Here is a 20,840-nt window from a genome sequence, read left to right as displayed (position 1 = left end):
AAACATATAACATGCAAATACTAATCTAACAAATGATGGAGTGGCTATAGTAATATCAGGAAACAGTGTTCAGAACAGTGAATATTAACAGGGAAAAAGAGGAACATTTCATAAGTGGGGTCAAATCATCATGAAGATATAACAGTCCCAAATATGTATGTCCAAGTAATAGAACCTCAAAGTATATGAAGAAAAATGGAAAAAACTAAAAGGAAAAATGAAGAAATACACAATTATGGTTGGAGATTTTACTACTTCTCTCTCAGTAATTGGTATAACAAGTATATAGAAAATTGGTTAAGACATAAAAGACTTGAACAACACCATCAATCTAATTCGACCTTATTGTCATTTACAGAACACTCAACAAGAGAGAAAACACATTTTTTTCAAATGCACACATAACATTCCCCAAAATTAAACTATATGCTGGGCCAAAAAATAAATGTCAGTAAGTTTTAAAAACTTGAATTTATGCAGAGCATATTCTTAGACCACACAGATGACATTAAATAACAAAACCAAATTCTAGCAAAAAGTTATCTGGAAAATCCCCTAATATTTGGGAATTAACCTAAGAATTAACGAAAAACAGCAAAGGAAATCAGAAAACATTTTGAGCAGAATGACAATGGAAACAGAACATATGAAAATTTACGGGATGCAGTTAAAGCAGTGCATACAATGAAGCTGATAATGTTAAGTGCTTATGTTAGTAAAGAGGAAATGTCTTAAATCAGTTATGTAGATTTCCACCTTGAAAAGCTAAAAAAACATTGACCAGGCATGGTGGCTCACACCTGTAATCCCAGAAATTTGGGAGGCCAAGGTGGACGAATCACTTGAAGTCAGGAGTTCTAGACCAGCCTGCCCAACATGATGAAACCTGTCTCTACTAAAAATACAAAAATTAGCCAGGTGTGGTGGTGGGCGCCTGTAGTCCCAGCTACTCAGGAGGCTGAGGCAGAAGAATTGCTTGAACTGGGAGGCGGAGGTTGCAGTAAGCCAAGACCATGCCACTGCACTCCAACCTGGAATACAGAATGAGATTCTGTCTCAAAAAAAGAAAAGAAAAGAAAAGCTAGGAAAAGCAGAGCAAATTAAACCTGAAGTAAATAATAAAGAATGGAAATCAATAAAATAGGAAAAAAGTGTGATCAATAAAATTGATAAACTTCTAGCTAGTCTGATTCAGAAAAAACACAAATGACCAGTTTCAGAAATGAAAGGGAATTCTTTCACTACAAGTACTACAGACATGCAAGGATAATAAAGGAATATTTAAACAAGTTTATGCTAATAAATTTGACAAGTTAAAATGGAAGATTGTGGCCAGGTGCAGTGGCTCACGCCTGTAATCCCAGCACTTTGTGGGAGGATTGCAGGAGTTCAAGACTAGTCTGAGCAACATGGTGCCAAGACCAGCTCAGTCATGGAGACCTAACGAAGCGGCACTAGAGGAATTAAGACAAAGACACAGGAATACAGTATAAAGTGGGGATTAGGGGGCTGACAGCCTTCAGAGCTGAGAGCCACAAACAGAGCTTGACCCACACATTTATTGACAGAAAGCCAGTGATAAGCATTGCTTCTATAGATTGTAGATTAGCTAAAAGCATTCTTTATGGGAAACAAAGCAATCTCAGTGAGGAGCAGAGAAACAGGCTCTGGCTGATTATCTGTAGCAAAAACATGCTGTCAAGCCACAGGCCTTTCCTGCTATCGTTTGTGGTTTGAGCAGTTTTTTGCTCCGGGCGGGGCCAGGTGTTCCTTGCCCTGCTCTAGTAAACCAACAACTTTTAGCAGTGTGCATGACAGCCATCATGAGCATGTCCCATTGCTGCAGAAATCCTGTTTATGGCCAGTTTCTTTAAGGTCTGTTTATGACAGGGTTAGGGATTGCTACCAACGTGTCCCACCTTTCTGTTTTTGCAAAGTGATAAAGGCATAGGCAGCTTTGTCACAGTAGGCTACTTCTCGCAGGATTCGCGATCCACATTTGCAGATGTACAAATGACCAATTTCATTTGTATTTCAATTTGATATACAAAGACAAACAACACCAATTAAAAGCACAGTCATCATTCAAATTGCAGAGCCTCCAAGTGTCTTGATCCATTTTAATGGGTTAATAGCTGCTAATCCATCTGAAGCGCCTTCAAGCACTTCAGTTCCTGGCATTAGTGTCAGATGTGCCAGAGAAGATTGAAATATTTGTTCCTTCAGTTGCATAATATCTAAAGTAAATTTCCAGTATGACCTTTCAAATGTTTCTTAACTCTTTCCCACTCATGCTGTCTTTCATTATACAGATGAGGAGTAATGCAAAAATCAGAAGTATTCCAATCACATTGTAACTGCATTCTATATTCTAGACTAACTACTCAATCTCCTAGCCACATTACAGATTGTTGGAGATAATTGATTTGATTAGCTAGTTTCTGGTCTATATTAGTTTGGGAATTCCACAGCAAAGTAGAATTTTTCTGCCAATTATTTACATAGTCTGCTGTTTGTACTGTGAAATGCAAAGCAACTCCAGCTGCCGCGGCAGTAGCTGTGACAGCAATCAATCCCATAATGATTAAAATTAAAGTAGCAATGAAACACTGAGAGCATCTCAGAATCTTTTGAAGAATTTCAGTAATAATATGCACAGAAGGAGAGGCTTCCCAAGGACCAGAAAGCTTTACAGGTATCCATACTCCTTCTTGGGTTCTTACCGCTAAAATAGAATGATCAGTATTATACAAGGAAGAATTCACACAAGAAAACAATCTACATTCTTGACAAGTCCCATGATGATTAGGGAGATCAAGTTTTAAATGACCCACTACAAGCAGGAAAGGTGGACTTATTGTCAGTCTCAACATGGCTGCAAGTGGGAGGTCCTTGGGTTCCTCCCAAAATCTCTTCCTCAGCATCTGGCTCATGATGAAGTTTCAGGTGTCTTGATGATATCCAAATTGGCCGCTGGTTTTGGCCTGGAGAAACACAAGCATAACCTCTACCCCATGTTATTATTTTACCTATTTCCCAACTTTTTGTTATTGGATCTCTCCACAAAACCAGTTGTTCTGCTTCTGTCTTTGAAGCTGGTTTCTGTAGATGCTGTTCAGCTGCTGGTAGCATCCGGCCTTTAGGCAGGCTCAAAAAATTTAAAGTTAATAATGCTAGATTTAGTTGTATGTGCAGAGTCCTATAATCACCATTCCTATAATCATTGATCCTCCTCTTCTGCTTTTGTAATTGTTGTTTTAGGGAGTGATTCATTCTTTCCACAATGGCTTGTCCTTGTGAATTATATGGGATGCCAGTAATGTGTTTAATATTCCATATAGAGAAAAATATAGCTAGAGCTTGGCTAGTATAGCCTGGAGCATTGTCTGTTTTAACTGAAGCTGGAATGCCCATGACTGTGAAGCATTGCAGAAGATGCCATTTAATACAGGCAGAAGATTCCCCTGTTTAGCATGTAGCCCAAACAAAGTGAGAAAATGTATTTACACATACATGTACATAAGCTAGTCTCCCAAACGAGGGAACATGTGTGACATCCATTTGCCAAAGAGAATTAGGTTCCAATCCTCAAGTATTAACTACTCCTGTAAAAGACGAGGAATGCACCATTTGGCAAGTTGGGCATTGCTGGATAATAGCTTTAGCTTCTTTCCAGGTAATGCTGTATCTGCGTTTGAGACCAGAGGCATTAACATGGGTTAAATTATCAAAGTGTCTAGCATTAGATAATGCCATAGCAACTAGGCAATCAGCAATTTGATTTCCTGCAGTCAAAGGTCCTGGAAGAGGTGTATGACCTCTAATACGAGTTATGTAAAAAGGGTGCATTCTACTCTTAACTGCTGTTTGCAATTGGGTAAATAAAGTCATCAGTTGTTTATCTGCATGAAATTGTAACTGAACATTTTCAATTAATTGTGTGGAATGAACCACGTATGAAGAATCAGAAATTACATTGACAGGCATCTCAAAACCGTCAGCACCTCAATTACAACTACAAGCTCTGCTTTTTGAGCTGAAGTATAGGGCGTCTGGAAAACTTTACTTTTTGATCCAGAGTTAGAAGCTTCACCATTACTAGACCCATCTGTAAAAACATTTTCCGCACCTTCAATTCGTTTAAATTTAGTTATTCTAGGGAGAATCCAATTAGTTAATTTCAAAAATTGAAATAATTTTGTCTTTGGAAAGTGATTATCAAGAACACCTATGAAATCAGCTAAATGGGTTTGCAATTAAGACTATTTATAAAGGCTTTTTGTATTTGTGCCTTTGTAAGGGGAACAAAAATTTTTCCAGGATCATATCCTTGTAATTTAACAATTTGAGTTCTCCCATTTCCTATCAGAGTAGCAATTTGATCCAAATAAGGAGTTAGAGTCCATGGATTAGTATGTGGAAGAAAAAGCCATTCTACAAGATCTTGCTCTTGAACAACAACACCAGTAGGTGAATGCTGAGTTGGAAAAATCAATCTTTTCTGGATCTTTTCTGGATCTATTCTATTTATTTGAGCTTTATGCACTTGCTTTTCAATCAGCTGTAACTCTGCCTCAGCCTCCTTTGTTAATTGCCAAGGGTTTGTGAGACTGGGATCTCCTCTAAGGATAGAAAAGAGATTACTCATGGCAGAGGTAGGAATGCCTAGAGCAGGTCATATCCAATTAATGTTTTCCAGTAATTTTTGAAAGTCATTCAATGTTTTCAATTGATCCCTATGTATGGTTACTTTCTGTGGCACAATGGTAGTGTCATTTACTAAGGTCCCCAAGTAGGAGTAAGGAGTAGTAGTCTGAATTTTGTCAGGAGCTATAATTAAATCAGCATGAGAAATCGAGTTTTGCAAGTGATTATAACATTGGAGTAATATTTCCTGAGTGGGGGCAGCACAAAGTATATCATCCATATAATGAATAATGTAACACTGTGAAAATTTTTTACGAGTAGGTTCAATTGCTTGTCCTACATAAGTCTGACAAATCATTGGACTGTTTAACATGCCTTGTGGCAACACTTTCCAATGAAAACGCTAAGCAGGCTGCAGGTTGTTTACCACAGGAATTGTAAATGCAAACCATTCACAGTCTTGCTCAGCTAAGGGGATAATAAAGAAACAGTCTTTTAAATCTATGACTATTAAAGGCCAATTTTTTGGAATCATAGCAGCAGAAGGCAGTCCAGGCTGCAATGCTCCCATAGGTTGTCTAACCGAATTAATGGCTCTAAGATCTGTCAACATTCTCCATTTATCACATTTTTTCTTAACAAAGACTGGAGGGCTGGGCATGGTGGCTCACACCTGTAATCCCAGCACTTTGGGAGGCCAAGGTGGGTGGATCACAAGGTCAGGAGATCGAGACCATCCTGGCTAATGCAGTGAAACCCCGTCTCCACTAAAAATACAAAAAATTAGCCGGGCGTGGTGGTGGGCGCCTATAGTCCCAGCTACTCGGGAGGCTGAGGCAGGAGAATGGCATGAACCCAGGAGGCGGAGCTTGCAGTGAGCCAAGATCGCACCACTGCACTCCAGCCTGGGCAGCAGAGCGAGACTCCATCTTAAGAAAAATAATAATAATAATAACAAAGAGTGGAGAATTCCAGGGGGGAAACGTTAGAGCTATATGTCCTTTTTCTAATTGTTCAGTAACTAAGACCTCTAAAGCCTCCAGTTCTTCTTTACTCAGCAACCATTGTTCTATCCAAATTGGCTTACTTGTTAACCATTTTAAAGGTATAGGTTCCGGAGGCTTAACAATGGCCGCCATCAAAAATGATACCCTAAACCCTGACAAGAATTTTTTCCTTCCGCTTGAACTGGTTTTTTTAACCCTTGTAAATTTTTTTCTAATCCCATGCCAGGCACATACCCCATCTCTTGTATCACATGCTGACTTTGAGGGCTATATAATTGTTCTATGTAATGGGGAACTTGTGCTCCCCATTGCTGTAATAAATCTCTCCCCCATAAATTTATAGGTACAGAAGTTACAATTGGCTGAATAGTCCCAGATTGTTCATGGGGTCCTTCACAATGCAAAATATAAATACTTTGATATACTTCAGGGGCTTTACCAACTCCAACTATGTTAAATTGAGCGGATTGAATTGGCCACACAGACGGCCAGTGCTGTAGAGAAATGATTGAAACGTCCGCTCCTGTATCTCCCAACCCTTTGAATTTCTTTCCCTGAATAGTTATTTCACAGGTAGGATGTTTATCAGTAATTTGATTTACCCAGTAAGCTGCTCTCCCTTGCTTATTTGTACTTCCAGATCCTCCTGTCTGTTTAGTTTCACTTCTCCCCATTTCCACATATGGCACAATCAGGAGTTGTGCTATACACTCTCCTGGCTCTGCTTTCCAGGGAACAGAAGTAGATATAACAATTTGAATTTCCCCACTGTAATCTGAATCAATGACTCCTGTTTGTACTTGTACTCCTTTTAAATGTAAATTAGACCTACCTAGAAGTGATCCTGCCATACCGCTGGCATCATCTGACTGGAGACAGCAACATTCTTTAACAGTCCCATTACAAAAGGAAAACCTGGTCCATGTTGATTAATAAATTGTTTAAATTCTTTAAGTATTTTAAAAGGAAAAGACTCAAATGTAGCCATAATATTTCCCTGTTGATCAGGTGGGTGTATTCTAACAGGAAACTGCCAAGCATCCATATCACCCTCTTGTCTAGCTTGCTGGATTCCTGCCTGAATAGAACTGACAGCGGTTGCTCGAGGCACTGCTCAGTCACTGGGGCAACTACTTTTCGCCCAGTGTCCTCTGGAAAAGAAAGATTCGGAGGGTCAGGCCACTCCTTTTCTTCAAAATAATGAGGGGGTGTAGAGGGGTAGGGACAAACCTCTCCCTACTCTGCTGCTTTAGCTGGCAAGCAAACTTGCTCTGTCACCTCTTCTGTTACTTCGTTAGACTCTCCTTCTTCCTCTGATTCCTCCTCCTCGTCATCTGTGTGGAAAGGCTCCAAGGTGGAATGAACCAGAGCCCACACTGACCAGTTATAGGAATATCCCCAACACCATCCTTATATGCCTTTTTCAGTGTGCTGCCTACCTTTTCCCAGACCTCTACATTCACAGTTCCTCGGTCCGGAAACCAGCGGCAATATTTCTCTACTGCACTAAAAAGCTGCGTAAGTCAGCTAGTGCTAACGTTCACTCCTCCTTTTCTGAGATGGCGAAGCAGACTCAAATAAGCCTCATGCCTGCTCGACCCTTGTCCCATTGTTACCCTGATGCTTCTGAGCTCCCCTTCTTACTCACCATGAGGATTGCTTTAACAGTACTCGGGTGTCCTCCAGTGTAGTTCCACATTTTCTAACCATCGCTCTGGCGACTATTCGACCCAGGTTCGAGCCCCCGTGTTGGGCACCACTTGCCGAGACCAGCTCGGTCGTGGAGACTCCAACCCAGCGGCGCTACAGTAATTAAGACAGACACAGGAATACAGTATAAAGTGGGGATCAGGGGTGACAGCGTTCAGAGCTGAGAGCCACAAACAGAGCTTGACCCACACATTTATTGACAGAAAGCCAGTGATAAGCATTGCTTCTATAGATTGTAGATTAGCTAAAAGCAATCTTTATGGGAAACAAAGCAATCTCAGCGAGGAGCAGAGAAACAGGCTCTGGCTGATTATCTGCAGCAAAAACATGCTGCCAAGGCACAGGCCTTTCCTGCTATCGTTTGTGGTTTGAGCAGTTTTTTGCTCCGGGCGGGGCCAGGTGTTCCTTGCCCTGCTCTAGTAAACCAACAACTTTTAGCAGTGTGCATGACAGCCATCATGAGCATGTCCCATTGCTGCAGAAATCCTGTTTATGGCCAGTTTATTTAAGGCCTGTTTATGACAGGGTTAGGGCTTGCTACCAACAACATGGCAAAACCCTATCTCTACCAAAAAAAAAGGGGGATATTCTTTGAAAGATACGTATTATTAACACTGACACAAAAAGAAGTACAAAATCTGAAGGGCCATATATTTTTATGTAAATTGAGTTTTCACTTAAAAGTTCCACAAAGAAAACATCTAACTAAGATGGTTTCACTGGTGAATTCAATCAAATATTTAAGGAACACATAATACCAAAACCATAACACATACATGCAAAACATTTAACAAAATTCAAGACAAACCTACACATTCTTTTTAAATATTCCTCCCCACCTCCAGCAAGAAATGAAAGGGAAATTTCTTAGCCCGATGGAGGGCGTATTCACACACACACTCTTAGTGATAAAATGCTGTCCGCTAAGATCAGGAACAAGGCAAGGATTATTGCTCTCCCTGCTTCTATTCAACACTATACTAGACATTCTAGCCATTGCAGAAAGGCAAGAAAATGAAATAAAATGCTTACAGATTGAAGAGAAGAAAACTGTCTTTGTTTTTATAGATGACATGACATGATGGATAGAAACCCTACATATCCTACTAATACAAAATACTACCATAACTAGTAAGTGAATTTAATAAAGTTGCAAGACACAAAATCAAACAAAAATTGATTCTTATGGCTGGGCGTGGTGGCTCACGCCTGTTAATTCCAGCACTTTGGGAGGCTGAGGCGGGTGGATCACAAGGTTGGGGGATTGAGACCATCCTGGCCAACATGGTGAAATCCCGTCTCTACTAAAAATACAAAAATTAGCTGGGCATGGTTGGGGGTGCCTGTAATCCCAGTTACTCGGGAGGCTAAGGCAGGAGAATTGCTTGAACCCAGGAGGCAGAGATTGCAGTGAGCCGAGATGGTGCCACTGCATTCCAGCCTGGCGACAGAGCAAGACTCCATCTAAAAAAAAAATGATTTTTATATGTTAGCAACAAATAATTCCATATACCATAAACTATCTCTACATGCTAGCAAAAACAATTGAAAAAATGAAACACTTTTCCAACAGCATCAAAACAATTAAATGTGTACAAACGGCAAATAAGAACATGAAAAGTGCTTAACATCACTAGTCATTAGGAAAACACAAATAAAAACCACAATGAAATTTCACTTCACATCCATAACGATGGCTATTATATATATATATATATATATATATAAAGAAAAATAACAAGTGTTGACAAGGATGTAGAGAAACTAGATCCCTGTGCATTACTGCTGGGGAATGTAAAATGGTGCAGCTACTGTGGAAAACTGTGGTGGGTCCTCAAAAAGTTAAACAGAATTACTATATGATTCAGCAATTCCACTTCTAGGTATATACCCAAAAAATTGAAAGCACGGACTCAGATATTTGTACATCAATGTTCATAGCAGCATTATTTACAATCACCAAAAGGTGAAAACAACTTAAATGTCCACTGATGGATGAATGGATAAACAGGATGTGGTATATAAACACAGCGGAATATTATTCAGCCTTGCTACAATGTGAATGAACCTTTAAATTTAAAACATTAAAATATTAACTATTTTACACATGCAAAATTTAATAAAATATCACACGAAGTGGAATAAGCCAGAAACAAGAGGAAACATGTATGATACCACTTATATGAAAAACCTAGAATAGGCAAATCCATAGAGACAGAAAGGATAGCGGTTATCAAGGGCTGGGGAGAGAAAAATAGGAGTTATTGTTTAGTGAGTAGAGTTTCAGTCTAGAATGATAAAAAGGTTTTGGAAATGTGTGGTGGTGATGGTAGCATAATATTGGTAATATACCTAATGCTACTGAATTTGATCTTAATATGTTCACAATGAATAATTCAACATACCATGGAATATTCCTAAATGCTAGCAAAAACAATTGAAAAAATGAACACTTTTCCATGGTTAAAATGATAAATGTCATACATTTTATTACAAAACATGGTTAAAGTGATAAATGTCACACATTTTATCACAAAACATTTTTGAAATATCAAATAATTTAACAAAATATGTGTAAGACATACACTAAAAACTATAAAACTTTGTTAAGTGGAATAAAAAGAACTAAGTAGAGAACTGTCCTTTGTTTATGGAATTTACCCATCATTGGTACATAGAGATCTTCCTCATTCTTTTTTATTGTGTGGATGCATTATAATCTATTCAATCTGTCGTATATTAATGTATATGTGCCTTTTCCCAAGTACTTCGCTGTTATCAATAATTTCACAATAACCTTATACATATGTTGTCTTGTATGTTGGAATTGTGTCTTTGTGCAGATTCCTATTGGAATGGTTAAGTCATACTCATATTTAGTTTTGTTGATGTTGCCCAATTTCCCCCTTTAGGAGTTTCACAAAATTGCACTCCTACCAGAAATGTATACGAATGCCTATTTCTCCACAGCCATGGTAACACAGAATTTTATCAAACTCTTTGATTTTTGTCAGTAAGCATTTTAAAATATGCTTAAAGTGTACTTGCGTTTTTTTCTGATACATAGATACATACATACATATATATATATCTTTTTTTTTTTTTTTTTTTGAGACAGAGTCTTGCTCTGTCACCCAGGCTGGAGTACAGTGCTGCCATCTCAGCTTACTGCAACTTCCACTTCCCAGGTTCAAGTGATTCTCCTGTCTCAGCCTCCTGAGTAGCTGGGATTACAGGCGTCTGCTACCACGCCTGCCTAATTTTTTTTGTATTATTAGTAGAGACGGGGTTTCACCATGTTGGCCAGGCTGATCTTGAACTCCTGACCTCAGGTGATCCACCCACCTCGGTTTCCTAAAGTTCTAGGATTACAGACATGAGACACCACGCCCGGCCTGATATATATACTTTTTTTTTTTTTTTTTTGAGATGAAGTCTCACTCTGTTACCCAAGCTGGAGTGCAGTGGCGAGATCTCAGCTCGCTGCAACCTCAACCTCCCGGGTTCAAGCGATTCTCCTGCCTCAGCCTCCCAAGTAGCTGGGACTACAGGCATGCACCACCATGCCCAGCTAATTTTTGTATTTTTAGTAGAGATGGGGTTTCACCATTTTGACCAGGCTGGTCTTGAACTCCTGACTTCATGATCCGCCCGCCTTGGCCTCTCAAAGTGCTGCGATTACAGGCATGAGCTACTATGCCTGGGCTAGAAACTGTCTTTTGAGCAACTATGCCTGCTTGTTGCCCATAGAAAGTTGGGGGTCCAGGGTCTTTTAACATTTAGTCCCTTTTAATCCAGGTTAATGCCATTAGTATAGCTTCCTAAAATGTACTGTGGGTTTTATGTGTCTGATTGGAGTCTACTCTATGTACCAAAAGCCTCACTCACAATTATTTTTGAGATAGCTCCCAATGAGTTTAATCACTGCTATGCCAGGTGTGTGAGGCTGCTGTGGGACAACAATCTTGATTCCTAGAAGAGTCATAAATTTCTAGGGACTACAGGCTCCTGCCACCATGCCTGGCTAATTTTTGTAGAGATGGGGTTTCACCATGTTGCCCAAGCTGGTCTCGAACTTCTGAGCTCAAGCGATCCACCTGCCTCAGCCTCCCAAAGTGCTGGGATTACAGGTGTGGGCCATCACGCTTGCCCTAGAGTAATATTCTCTATTATCAAGGTAGAAAGTTCAACATATATTCATTAGATCTACTTTATAGATACTGTTACTCAGATCACTTATATCGTTATATGTATTTTTTGTCTCCTTAACTTCAGTCTTGGATGAGAGAGAGGTGTTTTAAATTTCTCTGTTATTTCTAGGTTTCTATTCATTTTTCCTTGCATAATTTGTTATGCAAATGTTATGTGCTTTGACAAGGCAGAAGTAACACAACGGAAACAATGAAAAAGGAGGGAGAGAGAAAGAGGAAAGTAGAAAGAGCTCTTTGTTGTACAGGGGATAGGCAGGAGCCAAAGAATATCACTTAAAGTTGACAAACCAGATAACTGAAGCTCTAACACTCATAAATAGTATATCCTCCTTGTGAATTGTGGCTTTTAGCATTTTAATGTATCCTTCATTGTCTTGTCTATTTTTTCCTGAATTCTACCTTTTCAGATATGGATACTGTAATCTTTGCCTTTTGTGGTCCTACTTGTCTGGTCTATTTTTGCCCATCTCTTTTTTTTTAGCCTCTCCTGAATCACTTACTTTAGATGTGTCTCTTATAAATAACAGACAATAAGACATTGGTTTGTAAGCCAATCTGATATTCCTTTTAATAGGTAAGTCCTTTCACATGTACTGATTTAACTTATATGCTTGGACTTAATATATTTACTGTATGATGGTACATTTACTGCATGTTTTTCACTGTAATCTTTATTATTGCTTCTTTGAGCATTGATGATTTACATTTTTATTCTAGTAATTATACTATGTATTCTATACTATTAATAGTATAGTACACCTTTAATGCTCTAAATCTCCCTTTTTCCTTACTTACACTTCATATACTTGGTTTGTCAACTTTAAATAATACTATTTGACTTCTACATATTGCCTAAGCAACAAGGAGTTCTTTGTATTTTCCTCTTCCTCTCTCCCTTCTTTTTTGTTTTGTTACTTCTGTCTTGTCAAAGCATATATAGTTTGATACTATTTCATGTGATTAGGCTTTCTGTCCCCACCCAAATCTCATCTTGAATTGTAATCCCCAGGTGTTGAGGGCGAGACCTGGTGAGAGGTGACTGGATCATGGGGGTGGTTTCCCCCAAGCTGTTCTCATGATAGAGAGTTCTCACGAGATCTGATGGTTTTATAAGACAGTTTTCCCTGCTTGCTCTCTTGTGCGTCCATGCTCTCTCTTTCTTGCCACCATGTGAAGAAGGTCCTTTCTTCCCCTTCACCTCCTGCCACGATTGTAGGTTTCCTGAGGCCTCCCCAGCCATGTGGAACTGTGAGTCAATTAAACCTCTTTTCTTTATAAATTACCCAGTCTTGGGTACTATCTTTATTATTTTTTTGAGACAGAGTCTCACTGTTGCCCAGGCTGGAGTGAAGTGGCACAATCTCGGCTCACTGCAATCTCTGCCCCCGGGTTCAAGCAATTCTCGTGCCTCAGCCTCCCAAGTAGCTGGGATTACAGGCGTGCACCACCATACCCAGCTAATTTTTGTATTTTTAGTAAAGACGGGGTTTCACCATGTTGGCCAGTCTGGTCTCGAGCTCCTGACCTCAGGTGATCTTCCTGCCTCAGCCTCCCAAAGTGCTGGGATTACAGACATGAGCCACCATTCCCAGCTGGGTACTATCTTTATACCAGTGTGAGAAGGGACTAATACGGTTCTTCCACCCTTATCCCCACTTCCATTTGGCCTCAGATCTACAAAGATATTCAATGGTCATGTCCAGTCCTTTTGCTCAAGTTTCCCCAATCATCTAGTTGGATGAAGCTTGTCTTTTAGTAGAATTCTAAGGAAGAAGTTGTGAGTATAATAGTCCCTGGGCTCTTGTGTAATTAAAACTTCTTCCTATATCCTTGATACTTAAAGGACAGCTTGGTGAAATATGAAATCCTCAGTTCATACTTTGAGTTTCTTGAAAAGGTTGCCCCATTGCTATCTTGCTTTGTTGAGAAGTTTGAGGCCAACCAGGTCTTTCCTTTGTAAGAGACTAGGTCTTTTGGCCTAGAGGCTTACATAGTTCTTTTTCTTTGGCTTCAAAGTATAGTTGGTAGGCTATGTCTCAGAGCTAATCATTCTGGTTCAATATTCTAAGTAACAAGATAGACCCTTTCAAGATAAAGTTTAAGGTTTTCTTTTGTTTTCCAAAAGTTCTTTGGGGTTTATTTGAGTTTTAATATTTGAATTTTAAATATTAACTCTATGCCACTGTCTTATCTTTTGTCTTCATGAGTTCCAATCTTACCTGTATCATCTTTTCTTTGACAATCTTCTTTATCTGTCATTTTATTTCTGGGTCTTTTTGGCTCTTCCTTTAATATTGCTTTGTTTGTTTTGCTTCTCTTAGCTTTTCTTACTCCTACCTTCTACGTGCCTTAATGTACTTGTGACCATATCTATTTTCATTAAGATATAATTTAGTATTCATATCTGTGAAGATTTATCTTTTTGTTCAAATTATTTCCCAAGTTCAGTCAGTTCTCTTCTCATATATGCTTGTAGCTTTTTCATTTTTATTCTGAGTTTTTGAATTTCTGATCTCTGGTGTTCTTTTATATCCACAATTATTTATTTTCAAATTCATGTTGAAGTGTTTAGTTACAGTTTACTGTTTCATGGTCCAAGACAGCCTTTTTCTGCTGGACAATAATGTAAAATGTCTTTAAAAAGTAATGTCTAGGTGGTACTAGGGGGAGTTGTCTGTCTTCTTCGGAATCTTGGGCTTGCTGTTGTATCTAATGGGCCATTATCTTTAACCTCTTGCTTCCTTTGCGCCTTTCATCCACCATGCCTCCAAAGGACACCACTCACTTTCAAGATGGCTTCATCTCCATCAGAAGTGATGCCTTTGGTCCCATTCATTTTCTAAGCCCCTTCCTTTTAACTTCCCAGTAGCTACTGCTCTGAGCCACTAGGTCTTAAACCTATCTGCAGGATTTTGTCACTCTGGGTGAGAACATGCGTATTTTGATTTAGCTGGAGTCCTGAGCTCAGTAAAGGCCTTGGGCAGAAAAATCTGGAAGAGTCTGCAGGAGTCAGATCACAGAGGACTTTCTATAGAGGCTTTTGCAATAATTTGAGCAAGGAATAGAGAGGTATAAAGTAAAACAGGAGGGATAAAGAGGAAGGAAAAAGGAACTCACTATACAAATATAGGAAGAAAACTCAAAGTGAGAATCACTTTTCAGCTGATGAAATACTCCAAAATAAAAAAGAAATCCAGAATTTTGGAAATTCTTCCAGAGAAATGACACAACTTCTTCAGCAAGTGGACTGCAAGAAGAGAGAGGGAATGAGGGAGAAAAAGGGAGAGAAGTTCTAAACTGCACCACTTGGGAGATGGTCCCTCTCAGTGATCTGTGGGCATAGCTAAAGGGAGGGCACAGGAAGCACGTCCACCAGGCCCATTGTTTGGGTGGGAGGTTGTGAATTATGCCAAGTGAGTTTGGGGAGGGAGGAGAGATGAAGGAGGGGGAGAGGAGAGATGGTGAAAGGAGAGAATGGGGACAGCATGGAAAGGGTGAGCATGGGGCAAGTAAGAGAGGCCCTGCGAGGCACCTCAGACAGCTGAAACAAGGAGGGCAGGGTGTGGGAGAGAAGAGACTGTGGGGTTTGGATTGGGGAAGAGGATGGATGGTAGATCAAGGTATGGGGTGGGGGCGGCTATGGGTCACGGTTTGTGGAGGAGTGGGCAGTCAGGGTTGGAGAAAGAGATAGGATGAGGTTAGGGGGTGAGACCGGGCTTTGTCTCCCCCATTCTGCTGATTTGAGTCCCTAGATTAGCTTTAATTCTGCCTCTGCAAGGGGAAAAGTCATAGTTTTTATTGGACATATCCCAGTCTCAGTGTTGTCCTGCCTCCTGGGATAAAAGACAGGAAAAGAGAGATGCTTTCCTGCCCTGGGGCACACGGGCACAGGGACAGGAGTGCCTATCTATCTTCATGCAGATGTGCTGAGGGCGGCTTTAAGATGGTCCTGGACACTCCAAGGAGTCAGTAGGGGCAGGAAGAGCTGTTCAGAACAGAGAAGTGGATCCCTCCTGTCTGGGGCCATGTCGACAAATGGGGTCAGTAAATCTGGGCAGGCAGGGGCAACAGGGATGCCTGTTCACTCCGGAGGCCCCCGGGTCTGAGACAAGATTCTCTGCTCGAGTTTGGCATACTGGGGGAGAAGGGCCTCGTAGACCTAGAAGGGCAGAAAAAGCAGTTTAGAACAGAGGGGGAAAATGCCTCTTACATCTGGTTGCACTTTGCAATTTAAAATTTTTAAATCCCGTTTACTTGCAATTTAACTTTTTTTCTGGGCGAAAGAAAGCATCAATTCACAAAAGAGGAAATGCTAGCAGTTCTCAAACCTACAGTTTAAGATTTTTTAAAACTGTAAATTATGACAAGAAACCAATTTTTATGATCAAATCTACAAAATTTCAAAAAAATTCTGGTGAGAGTACCTAGAAATGGCTGCCTCATTGCACAGCTGGTGAAAGCTGGTGATACAACTCTTTGGGAAATAGACTTGACTTTATATCTGTATTAAGGAGCCCATAGTATGGGACCCAGTTATTCTACTTTGGTGAAGCTCTCCTAAGGAAATAATCCTAAATGTAGGATGCCAAGTCCACCAAGGGTCTTCTTTGATACCACTAAACATTCAGACTTATAAGACCACCATGAGCCAAGGGAAGACAGCCTGGAGAAACACAGTGGCAGGAGGTGCTCCTCTCAATGGAAGACCATGTAGCAGTCCATACAGCAGTTCACACAGCTGTCCAGGAGAGGGTCTCTTTGCCTCCCAACCAGGTTACAGCCCAGGCACAAACAGTTGAGATCTGGCCGGGCATGGTAGCTCATGCCTGCAATCCCAGCACTTTGGGAGGCCAAGGCGGGTGGATCACCTGAGGCCAGGAGTTTGAGACCAGCCTGACCAACCTGGTGAAACCCCGTCTCTACTAAAAATACAAAAATTAGCTGGGTGTGGTGGCAGGTGCCTGTAATCCCAACTACTCGAGAGGCTGAGGTAGGAGAATCACTTGAACCTGGGAGCCGGGGGTTGCAGTGAGCCAAGATTGCACCACTGCACTCCAGCCTGGGTGACAGAGCAAGACTCTGTCTCAAAAAAAAGAAAAAAAAAAAAAAAGAGTTGAGATCCACATCATACAGACAAAAGAATGACCCTGGCTTCAAAACCTCATATGCCCTACAAAAGTATCTCCTGTAACAACTTAGTAGGTAGGAGGCAGGACCAGGAGGAGTCACTGCACTCAAGGAGGCCCTGAGGAAGACTTCTCACCAGGTAGTTATGGTTTTCTCAGTTCAGATGCAGTTTCCCAAGCAAAGGCCATTTTTACATAAGCAATGTTGCCTAGTAAAACCGTTGATAGTCCACTTTTATGAGATCTCAAGGAAAACAGAGCTAGAAAGTTAACCAAAGGTCAAATTCTCATGTAGAATAGGAAAGGGTTTTTTTTTTTTTTAAATCCTTTATCTAAGAAGACTTAATTATAATTGAAAAACTAAAAGCAACTGTACTAAGGCAAGGAAAATGTTCGAGTAAATTGCAGTTCTGGCAAAAAATTTGCCAGATTTTTTTTTTTATACTTTAAGTTTTAGGGTACATGTGCACAATGTGCAGGTTAGTTACATATGTATACATGTGCCATGCTGGTGTGCTGCACTCATTAACTCGTCATTTAGCATCAGGTATATCTCCTAATGCTATCCCTCCCCTCTCCCCCCACCCCACAACAGTCCCCAGAGTGTGATGTTCCCCTTCCTGTGTCCATGTGTTCTCATTGTTCAATTCCCACCTATGAGTGAGAACATGTGGTGTTTGGTTTTTTGTCCTTGCGATAGTTTACAGAGAATGATGATTTCCAATTTCATCCATGTCCCTACAAAGGACATGAAATCATCCTTTTTTATGGCTGCATAGTATTCCATGGTGTATATGTGCCACATTTTCTTAATCTAGTCTATCATTGTAGACATTTGGGTTGGTTCCAAGTCTTTGCTATTGTGAATAGTGCCGCAATAAACATATGTCTGCATGTGTCTTTATAGCAGCATGATTTATAGTCCTTTGGGTATATACCTAGTAATGGGATGGCTGGGTCAAATGGTATTTCTAGTTCTAGATCCTTGAGGAATCACCACACTGACTTCCACAATGGTTGAACTAGTTTACAGTCCCACCAACAGTGTAAAAGTGTTCCTATTTCTCCACATCCTCTCCAGCACCTGTTGTTTCCTGACTTTTTAATGATTGCCATTCTAACTGGTGTGAGATGGTATCTCATTGTGGTTTTGATTTGCATTTCTCTGATGGCCAGTGATGGTGAGCATTTTTTCATGTGTCTTTTGGCTGCATAAATGTCTTCTTTTGAGAAGTGTCTGTTCATGTCCTTCACCCACTTTTTGATGGGGTTGTTTTTTTCTTGTAAATTTGTTTGAGTTCATTGTAGATTCTGGATATTAGCCCTTTGTCAGATGAGTAGATTGCAAAAATTTTCTCCCATTTTGTAGGTTACCTGTTCGCTCTGATGGTAGTTTCGTTTGCTGTGCAGAAGCTCTTTAGTTTAATTAGATCCCATTTGTCAATTTTGGCTTCTGTTGCCATTGCTTTTGGTGTTTTAGACATGAAGTCCTTGCCCATGCCTCTGTCCTGAATGGTAATGCCTAGGTTTTCCTCTAGGGTTTTTATGGTTTTAGGTCTAACATTTAAGTCTTTAATCCATCTTGAATTGATTTTTGTATAAGGTGTAAGGAAGGGATCCAGTTTCAGCTTTCTACACATGGCTAGCCAGTTTTCCCAGCACCATTTATTAAATAGGGAATCCTTTCCCCATTTCTTGTTTTTCTCAGGTTTGTCAAAGATCAGATAGTTGTAGATATGCAGCATTATTTCTGAGGGCTCTGTTCTGTTCCATTGATCTATATCTCTGTTTTGGTACCAGTACCATGCTGTTTTGATTACTGTAGCCTTGTAGTATAGTTTGAAGTCAGGTAGCATGATGCCTCCAGCTTTGTTCTTTTGGCTTAGGATTGACTTGGCGATGCGGGCTCTTTTTTGGTTCCATATGAACTTTAAAGTAGTATTTTCCAATTCTGTGAAGAAAGTCATTGGTAGCTTGATGGGGATGGCATTGAATCTATAAATTACCTTGGGCAGTATGGCCATTTTCGTGATATTGATTCCTCCTATCCATGAGCATGGAATGTTCTTCCATTTGTTTGTAACCTCTTTTATTTCATTGAGCAGTGGTTTGTAGTTCTCCTTGAAGAGGTCCTTCATGTCCCTTGTAAGTTGGATTCCTAAGTATTTTATTCTCTTTGAAGCAATTGTGAATGGGAGTTCACTCATGATTTGGCTCTCTGTCTCTTCTTGGTGTATAAGAATGCTTGTGATTTTTGTACATTGATTTTGTATCCTGAGACTTTGCTGAAGTTGCTTATCAGCTTTAGGAGATTTTGTGCTGAGAAAATGGGGTTTTCTAGATATACAATCATGTCATCTGCAAACAGGGACAATTTGACTTCCTCTTTTCCTAACTGAGTACCCTTTATTTCCTTCTCCTGCCTAATTGCCCTGGCCAGAACTTCCAACACTACGTTGAATAGGAGTGGTGAGAGAGGGCATCCCTGTCTTGTGCCAGTTTTCAAGGGGAATGCTTCTAGTTTTTGCCCATTCAGTATGATATTGGCTGTGGGTTTGTCATAGATAGCTCTTATTATTTTGAGATATGTCCCATCAATACCTAATTTATTGAGAGTTTTTAGCATGAAGCATTGTTGAATTTTGTCAAAGGCCTTTTCTGCATCTATTGAGATAATCATGTGGTTTTTGTCTTTGGTTCTGTTTATATGTTGGATTACATTTATTGATTTGCATATATTGAACCAGCCTTGCATCTCAGGGATGAGGCCCACTTGATCATGGTGGATAAGCTTTTGGATGTGCTGCTGGATTTGGTTTGCCAGTATTTTATTGAGGGTTTTTGCATCAATGCTCATCAAGGATATTGGTCTAAAATTCTCTTTTTTGTTTCTGTCTCTGCCCGGCTTTGGTATCAGGATGCTGCTGGCCTTATAAAATGAGTTAGGGAGGATTCCCTCTTTTTCTATTGATTGGAATAGTTTCAGAAGGAATGGTACCAGTTCCTCCTTGTACCTCTGGTAGAATTCGGCTGTGAATCCATCTGGTCCTGGACTCTTTTTGGTTGGTAAGCTATTGGTTATTGCCACAATTTCAGAGCCTGTTATTGGTCTATTCAGAGATTCAACTTCTTCCTGGTTTAGTCTTGGGAGGGTGTATGTGTCGAGGAATTTATCCATTTCTTCTAGATTTTCTAGTTTATTTGCGTAGAGGTGTTTGCAGTATTCTCTGATGGTAGTTTGTATTTCTGTGGGCTCGGTGGTGATATCCCCTTTATCATTTTTTATTGCGTCTATTTGATTCTTCTCTCTTTTCTTCTTTATTAGTCTTGCTAGTGGTCTATCAATTTTGTTGATCCTTTCAAAAAACCAGCTCCTGAATTCATTAATTTTTTGAAGGGTTTTTTTGTGTCTGTATTTCCTTCAGTTCTTCTCTGATTTTAGTTATTTCTTGCCTTCTGCTAGCTTTTGAATGTGTTTGCTCTTGCTTTTCTAGTTCTTTTAATTGTGATGTTAGGGTGTCAATTTTGGATCTTTCCTGCTTTCTCTTGTGGGCATTTAGTGCTATAAATTTCCCTCTACACACTGCTTTGAATGTGTCCCAGAGATTCTGGTATGTTGTGTCTTTGTTCTTGTTGGTTTCAAAGAACATCTTTATTTCTGCCTTCATTTCGTTATGTACCCAGTAGTCATTCAGGAGCAGGTTGTTCAGTTTCCATGCAGCTGAGTGGTTTTGAGTGAGTTTCTTAATCCTGAGTTCTAGTTTGATTGCACTGTGGTCTGAGAGACAGTTTGTTATAATTTCTGTTCTTTTACGTTTGCTGAGGAGAGCTTTACTTCCAAGTATGTGGTCAATTTTGGAATAGGTGTGGTGTGGTGCTGAAAAAAATGTATATTCTGTTGATTTGGGGTGGAGAGTTCTGTAGATGTCTATTAGGTCCGCTTGGTGCAGAGCTGAGTTCAATTTCTGGGTATCCTTGTTAACTTTCTGTCTCGTTGTTCTGTCTAATGTTGACAGTGGGGTGTTAAAGTCTCCCATTATTATTGTGTGGGAGTCTAAGTCTCTTTGTAGGTCACTCAGGACTTGCTTTATGAATCTGGGTGCTCCTGTATTGGGTGCATATATATTTAGGACAGTTAG

The 20,840-nt window shown here is 40.0% G+C and overlaps 1 protein-coding gene across 15 annotated transcripts in view; it reads right to left on the bottom strand.

Moving 5' to 3' along the window:
• XYLB (xylulokinase) overlaps positions 1-20,840 on the bottom strand; it is a 106,257-nt gene that overhangs the window by 24,372 nt on the left and 61,045 nt on the right. For 5 of the 15 annotated variants that reach the window (XM_011534325.4, XM_017007596.2, XM_047449382.1 and 2 more), the window contains 2 exons: positions 7,303-7,457; positions 3,100-6,569 (listed from right to left, as the gene is read on the bottom strand). The exons of 1 other annotated variant lie outside the window; for it this stretch is intronic. In XM_011534325.4, the coding sequence (XP_011532627.1) occupies positions 5,786-6,569; positions 7,303-7,457 (939 nt within the window). In that variant the 3' untranslated portion in view covers positions 3,100-5,785. Of the gene's footprint in view, positions 1-1,483; positions 6,570-7,302; positions 7,458-13,684; positions 15,735-20,840 lie in introns of those variants that run through there. 9 more of the 15 variants (NM_005108.4, XM_047449383.1, NM_001349179.2 and 6 more) reach the window with 5 other exon arrangements.

This window comes from Homo sapiens, chromosome 3 (genome assembly GCF_000001405.40).
Source record: "Homo sapiens chromosome 3, GRCh38.p14 Primary Assembly".
In the NCBI taxonomy this organism is placed as follows: Eukaryota; Metazoa; Chordata; class Mammalia; order Primates; family Hominidae; genus Homo; species Homo sapiens.
The sequence above is the reverse complement of the archived record's forward strand: the minus strand, read 5'-3'. Positions and strand labels throughout refer to the sequence as shown.